Below are 14626 nucleotides of genomic sequence, written 5' to 3' on the forward strand. Positions count from 1 at the left end.
TACCACTTTTAGTGTTGAAACAAAAGTCCAGGCTCTGGAGCTAGACTCTGATGTGAGTTTCAACTACTCTGATTATTAGCTGTGTCACTCTGGACAGGTTCTTACTTAACTTCTTTGTACCTCTGTTTCCTCCTCCGTGAAACTGGGGATAATAACCTATATAGTGCCTATTTGGAGTTTAAAGGAGATAAATCAAAGAAAATACACAGTAATAGGACTTGGACACAGTAAGCATGCAATAAGAATTACTGCTATTAATAACGATAATTTTGTTATATATAATTATATATTTATGTGTAATATATATTATTCTATTATATAATATAGGGTATATTATATAACAATAGAGTATTATATTACTAACTCATTAATATTATATATATTATTATATAATACTCCATAGTTTTACTTAAGTTACTTGCAGGTTTTTTCCTGTTATAAATAATGCTGTGATGAACATCTTTGTGTTTCAGGTAATGAAATTCTATGCTCCCAAGTTGGGGAGCAGATTTAGATGTCAAAGGTCAAACTCTGTGTGGCACATACCTGGCACCAAATCTTCTCTTATCCCCATTCCCTAACTTCCTTCCTTGCTGCCACTGTTTTGCCAAAACTCCGTGTTTTTTCCCCGTTTGTCCTTTTCCATCTGCATCTCCTGCCGTCTATGGCACTCACTCTCCTGTACCTTCCTGGCAATGCGTGCTACCCCCATTCCTTGCACCATCACGTTACCATTATGTAGATGGTATTATTTTGGTGGTGTTTCCCCTAAGAAAGCTCCCTGTTGCCTGGCACATTAAACTCAAACTTCTCTCCAAAATTCAGTTCCACTCACGAGTAATGCGGGACAGGCTGGCCTACAGGTCTCTTCCCACCAGGCCTGTGAGCTCAGAGGGCAAGCACTCAGTTGTACACGTCTTTGGGTCCCTTTAGAGTTTAGAACAGAGCTGGACACTTGGTAAAGGTTCAGTTAATAACCGAGGAACAGAAATGAAACGATGGTTCCTGCCCAGAGAAAGCTCTTCTCTGAATTCTGACCAATGTACTGCCCAGGAAAAATTCCTTAATGCCAAGGCCTGCCTGTGCCATTTTATCCACCAGGTTTCCAGAGTATCCCAAACCACAGGGTGAGTTGGGGGAAGGGAATGCTAATGAAAACTAAACTCAAATTTTCCTAAGTACCAAATCTGGACCAAATTTAGAGGTCAGAGTAAAACTCGGGAGGCACTCTCTATCTTTTCTTTAGAAATAAACATTTAGAATGGGAGGTAACATTACTTTTGTTAGGCATATTTTTAAAGCATGATTCAGAAAATAATGAGAACTGTTTGCACTTACCAAGGATAGAAACTTGTGCAAATGTATTTTCGGTACACAGCAACACCCGCGGAAGCAATTCCAATCATTAGGTCTAAATTGTGCAGATCCTGTAAAAAGGAAGATCTCAGATCCACAGCATGTTACAGTCATGCTTATGCCCTCTGGTGACTTTAAAGCACCCACGCTGTTATAAATAGTCATATGTATAGGCTCCAAATGGGAAAATGCTACTGAAAACAGGCAAAAAGCCCCACTTAACGGATACTTAAGATCGAAGTACTGAGTACCAAATTCTTCTAAAGTGAACACAGCCTGTCAAGCAACATGTGGGTGCCACTGGTCTAGAAAGTTACCAAATAAGCCCACTCATTCCACGGAATCATTTACATGAACACTCAAGCTTTAAATTTTCAACAATCAGCACTAAATCAGAAAGGCCTCACCCCTTTGCAAAGCTTTTTGCAAATCTCAATTTCCATTACTGTAAAGGCTTTAGCTATTTTGAAATGATGATGAAAATGTATACATGTAGAACTGCTGACTCTAAATCTACTTAAGAAATAAATGTTGGCTGGGTGAGGTGGCTCACGCCTATAATCCCAGCACTTTACGAGGCCAAGGAGGGTGGATCCCTTGAGCCCAGGAGTTTGAGGCCAACCTGGGCAACATGGCGAAACTCTGTCTCTACAAAACAATACAAAAAATTAGGTGGGTGTGGTAGCATACGCCTGTAGTCCCAGCCACTCAGGAGGCTGAGGTGGGAGGACTGCTTAAGCCTGGGAAGTTGAGGCTGTTTGAGGCTGCAGTGAGCCGTGATTGTGCCACCATGCTCCAGCCTAGGCAGCAGAGGGAGACTCTGTTTAAAAAAAAAAAAAAAAAAAAAAAAAAAGCGTTGCTTCTAAATCCAGTGTATCCAACATTTATGCATGCCTAAGTGCTGGGCATTGCTGTGGACAGTGAGGATACAGAAGACACAGCCGCTACAAGTTTGAGAACAAGGTGAGTACAAATAAAATTTAAAAATAAAATAGTTCCTCCTCTTGAGTCATTTACCTTCTTGTTTTCCCAATCAGATACTTGGTTTTTGTGTGTTTGGTTTTTCTCTGAGAGACAGGGTCTTGCTTTGATGCCCAGGCTGGAGTGCAGTGGTGCACACGTGGCTCACTGCAGCCTCAACCTCCTGGGCTCAAGTGATCCTACAGCCTCAGTTCCCAAGTAGCTGGGACTACAGGCATGTGCCACCACGCCCAGCTAATTTTTCATATTTTTGTAGAGATGGGGTCACACTATGTTGCCTAGGCTGGAGTGCAGTGGTGCACACGTGGCTCACTGCAGCCTCAACCTCCTGGGCTCAAGTGATCCTACAGCCTCAGTTCCCAAGTAGCTGGGACTACAGGCATGTGCCACCACGCCCAGCTAATTTTTCATATTTTTGTAGAGATGGGGTCACACTATGTTGCCTAGGCTGGTCTTGAACTCCTGGGCTTAAGGGATCCTCCTGCCTCGGCCTCCCAAAGTGCTGGGGTTAAAGGCGTGAGCCACTATGCTTGACCCAGATACTAGTAATTATAAAGAGGGGGCATGGTTTGAGTCAGTCACAACTGAGTGTGAACCTTCAGTCTGGCACCTACTAGCTATATAATGTTGGGCTCCTGAGGCTCAATTTTTCTTCTTGTACAATAAAGATGACAGAACCCACCTCGAAGCGTTTTTATCTGGCTGAAATGAGAGATGAAAACCTAGAAGGGGGCTTGGCATATGGAGCTTCTAGAAGAGAGTTTGGCACGTGGAAGACATAAGAAACGTCCATTCCCCTTTGCCGTGGGACAAACCCTTTGTGAACCACAATGTGAACATGGAGTTAGAGAAACGGGACAAACAAAACAGTGCTGATACTGTGGAAAGTCCAGGCAGTATTCACTATCAGTACCCAACAGAAATCACATGCTTATAACAAAACCAAATTTGCTTGATGAAGGGTAGAATTGCATTTAAATATGATACTTGAGATCACAACAGAGGGAGTATGAAGCAGGTGTGACAGAGCAAATTAGCAAAGGAAATCAAAATTGAGTGAACAAGGAAACAAATGAATGGTTTGGGTGGGCCAAAGACCAGGTCTCAAATCTCCTAATCCTGTGGTCTTTCAGTATGCACCTCAACCCCTGCAGCATAGGAAGTTACTGTCTATTCAATTCCCAGGCCCAACCCCACATTTCCCAGCTCCCCTTGCAGAGGGCAGAACTCGGTGACTAGTTCTGGCCACTGTGCTCTGAGCAGGAGGAATGTATGTCTCTTTTGGGCTGAAGCATTTAAGAGCTGGTGTGTAACCCTGCAGCTTCCTGTTCCCTTGTGACAAACATGGAGGTCACATGGAAAGATGGCCATGACATGGAAGCAGCCTCGACTGCTGAGTTATTGCGATGGATGGGGTGGAGGGCTGCCCTGGAAGACTCCTAGACTCAATGCAAGCTTTGAATTACTGAAAGATAAACCTTATGATATGAAGCTATGGAGATTTAGGGGTTTTTAGTTCACGTAGAACAGCCTAGTATGACCAACCCCCTCTGATACTGTGGGGGTCTTTGCCACGCAGATATCATCTGGCCTCACAGCCCTTGAGGGTCATTTCACTGACAGTTCTTGGGGTGGGACAGCACAGCTCAACTCAGGCAGATATAAAGCCCTACTTCACCGACAATTAAAGTTCTCTGAAACATTCTATCTAAGATAAAATATTATTTGCAAATGGAATAAAAATGAATGGTCAAGTCCCAAAGCTGATATTTTGTAAGATCTAACACCATTTTCCTTCCTTATTTCCTATATCACAACTTGCCTACCTCACAGGACTGTCAAGGGACCGAAGTGAAACAAAAATAAATGAAAGTGTTTCTATAAACTATGAAAATACATAGATTTAAAATCTGATCATTTACTCAATCTCTATGAGCCTCGGTTTTCTCATCTATAAAACGGGAATAACTAGAATGTCGATTTCACAAGGTTTCTATGATCACAAGGTGAGACCTTATGGTCTCATATGAAAGCATCTGGATAAAGGCTAGTATATAGTAGGTGCTCAATTAATTTTTGCTTCCTTTTGGATATGATGTGGACCAATCACAGGTAGAAAACGTATGCCACTGATCAAAGGTCAGATGCTAATTAGACAGTGAGGGGTCATGTGCTGAAGCTACAACTTGTGTGCTGTGTGACCTCGGTTATGTCCCTGAGTATCAGTTTCTCCATCTGTAAAATGGGGTTAATGATAACATATGGAACTCATGGTATTACCGCAGGAAATAATCCACTGGTGCATAGAAATTGCTTGACAGATGACAGATGTTAGTAAATCCTACTAAAGTAGCCACAACTAATTTCAAATATTTATTGATTTTAACAATTATATCACCATAATCTTTTTAAAAAAACTATCATATATGAGTAACTATCTCCAATTTGAGCAACACTTGAGATTAAGTAGTAGAAATCTTGGCTCCTTAAACCGTCACCTGAAAAATGAATTTATACCTATTTTTTGCCTTTTAAAACCATAATATAAAATGGTCTTACAAAAATTACTAGTTTCTAGTCCCCTAACCCTTCAAAAGGGAAAAGTCTTCAAGTACAAAAGCAAACATTAAAAAAAAGCAATTGGACAAATGACCAACAAAAAATTCAGCATTACTTAATAAACCTTCCAAATATCTTTTAAAAAGTCCTGTTATAATGAAAAAGAAATAGTTTCATCAAAGAATTTTTCAAACTCTCAGAGATTAAAATAAAAACATAATGTTTGAGCCAAGACATAACAAGAATACATACCCTACCACTGTGCAGTTCTACTCCATAGAAGTCGAGGGTCCGCGCTATGTTGATATAGCAGGATTCTGCTTCTGATTGTTTTAGCCCACTACGGAAGAAAAGACAAAAAGCAGAGTTCATCCAATAAAGAGAGGGCATTAACTCCAATTTTAAAAAATCTAGAACATTTGATACCATTTCTGTAAGGTTATTAAATGCCTTATGTTATCAATCTTCAGCAATCTAATGCTAAATTCTACTAAAGCAAGTTTTTATTCTTATCCATTGAATGTGACTCCCTCTAGACCCTCTTGTTTTTAAATTAAATAATACTTCCCCTTTAGTGGGCTCACAATATTCAGACGGAGAAGACTGTTACCTTTCAGAATCCCTGCCCTAATTATTCCAAGTTGCTAATTAGTAGGGAATCTTTAGGTCTCTCTGCCTTTATCTCTTCTTTTGGCAGTGGCCTCAAACTTTCAAACGCCACTGGCCCCGTACTATTTTAGGAGATTGACTTCTGCCCTGGGAGTAATTCTGGGAGAGAGGTTTGGCAATGCCTTCTTAGAAAGGACACTTGGTTGCCTGGCCTTTGTTTTTATGGCTTTCCCAAGAAGAGAGCAGCCCCTTGAGAGCTGGCCTTCTTGGTCAGGGTGGCCTTTATTTGACCTGGACTGCACAGCTGCTGCTGTAGCTTTAAGTAAAACAAGGAAGGGGAAGAGCAGCCAGAATTGGGCATATGTGTTGGAGCTGAGGCTCGCAACAAATACGCAGGGGCAACTGCAGAAGACTCATGCTCCCCACTTGGACATAGGGCACTTTTCATGAACTGAACACAGGAGACTGGTCAGCACTGTACGTCCATCTGTCTGTCTGTTTAACAAGACCTGAAGGAACAGCTTGTTTTATTAAATGTGGTAAACTGCTAAGAGGTTTACCTTGGTACAGTCCATTGGTGGGGCAATCAGATTTCAAAATGGGCATTTCCTTCAGGAATTTACTGATTTCAATGACATCCTGAAAAGGACGCAGCAGCTATCACCCTAAACTCTTACTGGATTTTACACTTTACAGAAATGCTAGTTATGCCAAATATATCTGCCACCATACCAGCTCAAAGGTTCAAAAACCCCCGACATCTTGAAAGAGGATTCATGCACAAAAGAAAGAGGCTGCATCAAACACAAAGGGATATGATGTCTGAAAATACCCAACCCAAGTCCCCAAAGTAGGCCACCCCAGCCCCCCTCACCTGTGCTGCTCATGCAGAGATTCGACTTTTGTTAAAAAGTCCTCATTTTGATCGGGTATAAAGTGACTATCGGAAAGATAGCCTGGATGATGTATGGAAGAATTATAGTCTCCAAAATGAGCTATCAAGACAGAAGAAGGGGAAAATCATAATTAGTTTTGCCTTTTTAATATGGTTTGCATTTATAAGCATCTACAGCATCATCAGAATAACATTAATTAGAAATACTCTTCTGGTAAGTTCTACACCACATGAACTGAAGCTTCTCACTAGCTCCAGATTCCACACTTATCTGAGCCTTCACTATAGGCTAAGATACTATCACACATGATCCAATCAAATTCTCATTCTCCCCAAGGACACAGAGGGAGAAAATTAGGAGACGGTGTTTGAACCTAGGCCCTGTTCTAATCCCACACCTCTTCCATACACTGTGGTCAGCACAGCAGTTTGCACTCATGCCACTGGATAAAGAGAACCCACTGGGGGAAATGCCACAATCCATATGCCACACACGGTGCAGGCTTTCTCTGCCATACCCCAAGGTTACCATAACACTGGACCAATCTGCTCTAAAAACTGGGTGTAGGCAGAAGGGAGGCCATGCCGACCTGACCACTCTCCACATCCTGACCCATCCCCTGGGATTCAGGGAGGTGTGGAAGAAAGGGGACCAGGATGTGCTCAGAGGCCACAGGGACAAAAGGTGGGTGGGAGTGGGGCTGAATGGTCAGGGCTCAGGCAACAGCAAAGTTCCTAGGGAGAAAGACACATTCTAAGGGGAGTCAGAAGATATGAAGAGAGATTCTGGGGCTATCAGGGGAATCACATTAGGGACCTGCAGGTGCAGAGGGAAAAGGAAGGGTGACTTCCAGACTAGCCCCTGGGCAAAATGGTACTGCTCCCTTGAGACCCTTGACTGTTGTCTGCCAATGTGAATTGAATTGTTGATGCCTATGATGTGATGGGCATTCTTGAGAGTTGTGCAGTGCTCAACCTGTACAAGTGTCCATGGCTGCCTCAAGGACTCAAACCATTTGGGTGTCTGGACCATTGAGGAAACTGGGAAAAAGGATGGCACCAGGTGAAGAGCAAAGGACCAGGCTTATGGGACCTGAGGACATCCATTTCCCTTCTCCACAAGTTTTCCCATTTGTCTAAAAACAGAATTGAGGAGATAATCTCTACCTCTAATGGGGCAACCGATCTCGTATTCCATTTTCTTGACAAACAAAACAAAAAAAAGCTTCTACTTCATCTTTAAAAAAAAAATTAGTCCTGATCTTTCCAAATATTTTAATGAATTTCTTCCTGTAGCTCGCTGCAATGCCAGGAGCCTCCTGAGGACTCTCAATTCAACACCAAAGATTTCCAAATCAAATAACTCCTTCTCTGTTACAAGGGCAGAGTATGGGAAAGATATGGTGATACTTTGTGGCCAATCTCAGAAGGGAAGTGGGTGAGACAGGTAGCTGCTTGGGTGAATTTCACCATGAAGTTGAAAGGGCAATGCAGCCGGGCATGGTAGCTCACGCCTGTAATCCCAGCACTTTGGGAGGCCAAGGCGGGTGGATCACCTGCGGTCAGAGGTTTGAGACCAGCCTAGCCAACATGGTGAAACCCCATCTCTAGTATAAATACAAAAATTAGCCAGGTATGATGGTGCATGCCTGTAATCCCAGCTACTTGGGAGGCTGAGGCATGAGAATCGCTTGAACCTGGAAGGCAGAGGTTGCAGTGAACCGAGACTGAGCCACTGTACTCCAGCCTGGGTGACACAGCCAGACTCTGTCTCAAAAAAGAAAAAAAAAAAAAGGGAAGATGCAAAGGTTATGTTTCATTCAGCCTTGTTCACCTAACTGCCCTCACAACACAGGGCTGCTCTTTTGAGATCCACACCATAACGAAGGGATCTGTTTCCTTCCTACACTGTGCCTCAAGTGCTGGGAGTGGGTCAGACTCACCTTTAGGGCCCCCAGCACCAGGCATGACACACAGTAGGTGCTCAGAAATTTGGGTGCTCAGAACTGATCTGTACAGAGGCTGATGCAAATTTCAGTTCTGGAAGGGGAAAAGGGCAGAGAGCCAAGTGACCAATGCATGCAGACTTGGTCAAGGTTAGACCAGAGGCTGTTAAGGCCAGCCAAATGTGGCCAAGCTGTGGAAAGAAATGTCAAGGCTATGTGGCTGGTGAGTTTGTGCAGGGTTAAGCGCACATGGTGCGTTCACAGGAAATCATTTAAATGCCCTGACACAGCATGCCCAATGAGGAAATTGCTAGAAAGCATTAGAATCACTTCCTTCAAAGCTCTCATGTTAAGAGTGAAGAAATTGCGGTCTGGAAAGGAAAAGACACCTTTGGGACAGGGTCAAGATCAGAACCCAGGTGATCTGAACCCCAGTTAGTGCTCCTACCACCCCACCAGCCTGCCTGCCAGGCCTGTGAGCCGCTGCTGGCCATTTGATGGCAGCAATCATGTCCCCAAAGGCCAACCAAATGCTGTAAATGACTTTTCCTGATCCTCAAGGTGGAGTCCTATGAACCTTTACTCTGTTGGTTTCATTAGCTCATGGAGATCCTCCTGGATCCCAATAAGGTTATCCATCATACCAGTTAACAGTCCCATCCCTGGTATCATTCTGCAAACATGAACAGCAAGGTTCTCTCTTTAGGCAAGTTGCTGACAAATGTTCTGAGCTTCGAACACAACCAATGAGCCTCCCTGTGGGGTGGTTTTCCCTTTAAATCCTAAGCGGCCACTCTGTGCAAAGCTCTGTGCTAACCACTAGGGGGAAACAAAGTTAAACAGTGATAAACATTTGCAAAACACTGGGCGGTTTCACATCGATTTCAATGATGTCATCCCACTTGTTACTCATGGTAACCCTGTGATATAGGCAATGCTTTTTATCCCCACTAAACACATAAGGAAACAGACCCAAAGGGGTCTGCCACTGTTGCTCAGCTGCTAATTTGGAGGCTAGACTCTGACCATAGTCCCTGCTCTTACCTACTTACTATACTATATGCTCCAAACTCCTAAGTAATCCATTTTCCTATCTGTGAGAAAGCAACACATGCAAAAGCTAATTATAGCAAACAAAAAAGGAAGTGCTTATGTGGGAAATACCTTGTCATTTTAAGTTCCATGCTTTCTTCTGGTTGATAATATTTTATGTTTTGCAGCAAAGAGAGGGTATATCCCAGGTTCCAAAGTACAGCATTTCAAGCTGCCCGGCTGTTGTACTTGGAAAGACTTTTACCTGCTATTCATTCAACTCCAACCTGATCTTAGAGGCGGTTCTCAGGGGTCATTCCTAGGACGTTTTCCCAGATGCTCTCCCCTCTCCCTAAGCAGGATGAAGTGCACCCCTGGTGGCCATCTCCACTGCTAGTATCATCCACATCTGCCTCCCTACAGGCTGTAGACTCCTTGGGGAGAGCAGTGTGTTTTATCCATCTGTGCACCCTGAGGCTGGTACAGACCTCTATGTGGCACAGGTGCAGGGAACATTCTGGAATAAACATATATTCCAAAAAATATACTTTATTCTTTGAGCCTCATAAAGCCTTGGCAGGCCATTAACAATTTTCCATCATTGTATATTTTTGGGTACTTTACCTGAAGATCACTTTTTTTTTTTTAAGAGATGGGGTTGCTCTGTTGCTCAGGCTGGTGTGCAGTGGCATGATCATGGCTCACTGCAGTCTCTAATTCCTGGGGTCAAGCAATCCTTCCACCTCAGCATCTCAAGTAGCTGGGATTACAGGTGCAAACCACTATGCCGGACTTTATTTTTTATGTAATAAGAAAATGTGCTTTTGGTTAGCTGGTCACAGTGAGGACTTATATCAGATGCCCCTCTTGGAAGAATTTAGCAAAATATATCATAAAATGTAGGTGTACCTTTTGATCCAGTAATTTCATATACAATAATTAATTTTTTTTTTGAGACAGAGTCTCACTCTGTTGCCCAGGCTGGAGCACAGTGGTGCAATTATGGCTCACTGCAGCCTTGACCTCCAGGGCTCAAATAATCCTCTCACCTCAGCCTCCCCAGTAACTTGAACTACAGGGGTGTACCACCACACCTGGCTAATTTTTGTATATTTTGTAGAGACAGGGTTTCACCATGTTGCCCAGGCTGGTCTCAAACTCCTGGGCTCACGCAATCCGCCTGCCTCAGCCTCCCAAAGCGCTGAGAATACAGGCGTGAACCACCGTGCCTGGCACAAGTATTAATCTTAAAGAAATGTATGCTCTGCAATATATATATTTATTGAGGGTGGAGGGATAAAAGCTTATACTTAAAACTGCTTGCCTGATAAGCCATGATTCTATTAGCATGACAGTAATGTGACTATTTCTACTGAAGCCAGTTTGTACTTTTTAGGTGCCCACAACTTCTTTAGCCCCCATTCTATCAGTTCTTTGCAGAAGGGAACCTGACTACTGAAGCCTGCGATAGAATTCTTTATTTGCTTTTTAAATTTTACTCTAAATAGAATTTACTGTTTACAACAGGCAATTCCCTGACAGCTTTCTTCTGGGCAGACATGAAAATACAGTAAGAGCTAACACTTGACACGTGCCATGCACTATTCTAATAGTTTTACATACAGTCACTCATTTCATCTTCACTACAACCCTTGAAGGAGACACTTATTATCCTCATGGGTCAGGTAATGAAACTGAGGTCTGGAGAAGCTCAAAGTCGGGCAGGTACAAGTGGAAAAGGCAAGACCTAGGTATATGGCTCCAGTCCAGTTCTCAATGACTCAGCCAGGGATGGTCCAACAATAAAGAATTTTTAGTTACAGATCACCTTCACATTATTGCTTAATTTGAACCAAGGTAGCCATATTGAGAGCTGTCTTAAATCACTCACCTCAGTTTTACAGGTGAGAAAACCAAGATTAGGAGAGGCAATCCCACATAACTGGCCACCGGAGACATCAGATTTTTTTTTTTTTTTTTTGAGACAGGGTATCACTCTGTCACAAAGGCTGGAGTGCAATGGCATGATTATGGCTCACTGCAGCCTCAACCTCTGGGGCTCAACAGATACTACCCCCTCAGTCTCCCTAGTAGCTGGGACTACAGGCACCGCACCACCACACCCAGCTAATTTTTCTATTTTTTGTAGAGATGGGGCTTCATAGTGTTGCCCATGCCAGTCTCGACCTCCTGGGATCAAGTGATCCTCCTGCCTCAGCCTTAGAAAGTACTAGGACTACAGATGCACACCACCATGCCCAGATAATTCTTCAGTTTTTGTAGAGACAGGGTCCTACTATAATACCCAGGCTGGTCTCAGACTCTGGGGTTCAAGGGATCCTCCCGTCTCAGCCTCCCAAAATACTGGGATTACATGCGTGAGCCACCACACCTGGCCAGGGATGCCAGGATTTAAATTGAATATGCCTATATTCTAGTTAGTGTTCCTGCCTCATAAACCTGAAGCTCAGGCTGTGAACACCAAACTTGCTCTGAGACATGGGGAGGCTCAGTCTCCTCAGCTGATTGGCCTGGCAGACACAGAGTTCACAAGGTCTACAGATCATAAGAATACAAACTGGTGACCATGCCACTTCCCATATGGATGTGAAATGGCCGGGCCTGTCCCAGGTATATTGTAGGGAGAAGGGAAGGTTCAAATCCACCCAGGCCCATTCGCCTGTTTTGAGTTTCCCACTAAGGAGGAGGCGATGCAGGTATCGATGGAGAGACTAACTCTGGTACTCGTCTTACTCGTGAATAGGGTCATCTTTGATGTCCCCTGCCCTCCACCTCCTGGTTCCATGCAGGTGGGTGGGTAAGCTGCAGGCCCAGCCACCTTGCTCTTCACCTCCTTCATTTCTGTTCTTTCCTGGTAGGGAAATAGGCAGACCTAGGGCCACCTCAGGAGTCCGTCAGCCTTCTCTTGCTATTTTGCCTGTTCTGAGACCAGAGCAGGGTGTGTAGTTCAGCCAGTGCCTGCTCTCAGACCTGATCATCTTGCTGCCTTATCTATCTATCACACAGTAGGTCAACAGGGTAATAGGCCAAGATGGTTTGGGCTTCTGGTAGAGGAGATTTCTTAGGTCTGGAGCTGCAAATGGCTCTACCTGAGTACTATGCTGATGAACTGTACTGCCACCACAAAGCTAGCTACTATAAAGTGACATTTTGCTCTCATCTGGCTATACGTTCTTTTCATTGTGCCTACCCAGCATCTACCCACAGGACTTGGAAGGGAATATACCCTCGATAAAGTTTTGCTGATTGAATGAGCGGATTCCTACTCCAGTTTAAACCAGCCTTCAAGAAAATTCCATCTGGACTTTCTATCCAATATGGTAGCCACTAGCGACGTGCGGTTAGTCCAAATTGAGATGTACCGTCAGTGTAAAATCCAGACTGATTTTCAAAGACTTAGTATAAAAAAAATGTAAAATATCTTGCTAATAACTTTGTACATTAAGTTAAAATGCTAATATTTTCAATATATTGCATTAAATAAAACATAAAAAACCTCCTGTTTCGTTTTACCTTTTTTAATGAGTGTACTAGAAAACTTAAGTTACATATATGATTCACATTATATTTCTATTGAATAGCACTGGTATAGATCAATATACAATCCATTAGCTATACTGCAACTCTGAAAAGAAATTCCTAAGATCCCAGTAGTGTTTTAGAGTAGCACCAACCAAGCAGCAGGGGTGACTCCTAGCAAATTTCTTAACCTAGCTGGGTCTAGGTTTCCATGTGTATAAGGGATGACTGATACAAATATTTGTCCCACTGGGATTTGTATGAAGATCAGATCAAATGCCTGAGCAAAGTTTCTGGAAAATGCAATGTGCAACAGCTGTCTGCTGTCTGATGGGCTCCCTTGGAGAAAATTTCACACCACAGTTCATTCATTCCTTTCCCCTTAACCACCTTCCTTAATCTAACATCCCCATGCTACAGGAGAGTGCCAGTCTGAGTAGAAACACATATCTGGACAGCCAGAGATATGCTGCCCAGCAGGATTCCTGGGGAAGAGGGACTTGGTCAAGCAGGAGGAACCAGTGACTTTCTCCACACACTGATCAGAACAACCTGTCCATCCGTGAAATGCTCCCTTTGTGACTTACATTGTACGGCATAGGACGCTAGAACCACTGCTGAGTTAAGAGGGCAGGTTAACCTGTCAGGAGAAAAACATATTAGCAAAGTCACAAGAACCAACAACAGCCTTAAACATTGACAGATCATGCGTAGTAACACATGTCTTTCTTTGCTTTGATCAACCATTACAAAACAACATGAATTGTAACAAAAGCAACTTTATGCTGCACATAAACAGTAAAGGCAAATGTAATACACTAAAATTTTTTAAAAATAAAACCTTTTCATGTTTAAAATAATATCCATCACAAATACCATGAAACTAAAGGACTAATGCTGGCCAGTGTTTTGGCTGCTCAAGAAGGGTCAGGCTCTTATCTCTAAGAGGGGAAAAAAAAGTAAAAAAATTGTACTCTGAGATCAATGGGCAGCCTTTAAATCTTTCTAGTAAAGACCTGAGACTCATCATAGGGCTCTCTAACTAAATTCCTGAGTTCTAATGACCCTTTGGTTCTAGATTACCCTCTTTCTAAAATAGTAACATCCTCTTAGGAGGGACAAGTAGAAAGGTATTTTCAATTTTAAAACCTGCAATTCCTTAATTAAATTAACTAATTACGATGACTTAGGATTCCTTTATCTATTTGCCCTCCTGAAGATCTACAGAGTTCAGTGATCTGTCTCTCAGTCTTCGTGCCATTCACTAGTAATCATGGACTTGGGTTGGCCTTGTTCTCCTTTCCTCTTAAACTCACTGCTTTCCCAGGTGCCCTGTTTCTGCCAATGACTCCACCTCTGTCTTAGGCACATTTTGAATCCTCTGATTGCTCCCTTTTCTTTTCTGCATTCAACTGCAGACTCCACGGCCTGCCCAGGAGCTCACCAGCAGACCTGGAGCAGGGGTCACTGCTGGGCAGAACAGGTTAGGGGAGGGCAGGAAGAAGGGCTTGAAGGGTGGGGAGGTCTCTGATAAACGGAGGAATCCTTAACAGCAACACTGGGAGCCACTGGGACTTTAAAAATTCTTCCCAGCACCCCAGTGGGAAGTGGGGAACACAGTTTCTATGGCAGCCCGTGAAGTACCCAAGATGTGAACCACTCCGCCTTTCTGACAATGCGGCCCTCCAGGGGTTCCGCTTCCTGTCCA

The 14626-nt window shown here is 43.3% G+C and overlaps 1 protein-coding gene across 14 annotated transcripts in view; it reads right to left on the reverse strand.

Annotated features, from left to right (window-relative positions):
• PTPN3 (protein tyrosine phosphatase non-receptor type 3) overlaps window positions 1-14626 on the reverse strand; it is a 162727-nt gene that overhangs the window by 56041 nt on the left and 92060 nt on the right. For all 14 annotated transcript variants that reach the window (XM_011518888.3, NM_001145368.2, NM_002829.4 and 11 more), the window contains 4 exons: window positions 13506-13558; window positions 6380-6500; window positions 5149-5236; window positions 1339-1427 (listed from right to left, as the gene is read on the reverse strand). In XM_011518888.3, the coding sequence (XP_011517190.1) occupies window positions 1339-1427; window positions 5149-5236; window positions 6380-6500; window positions 13506-13558 (351 nt within the window). The remainder of the gene's footprint in view (window positions 1-1338; window positions 1428-5148; window positions 5237-6379; window positions 6501-13505; window positions 13559-14626) is intronic.

The sequence above is a fragment of the Homo sapiens genome, chromosome 9 (assembly GCF_000001405.40).
Source record: "Homo sapiens chromosome 9, GRCh38.p14 Primary Assembly".
Lineage (NCBI taxonomy): Eukaryota > Metazoa > Chordata > Mammalia > Primates > Hominidae > Homo > Homo sapiens.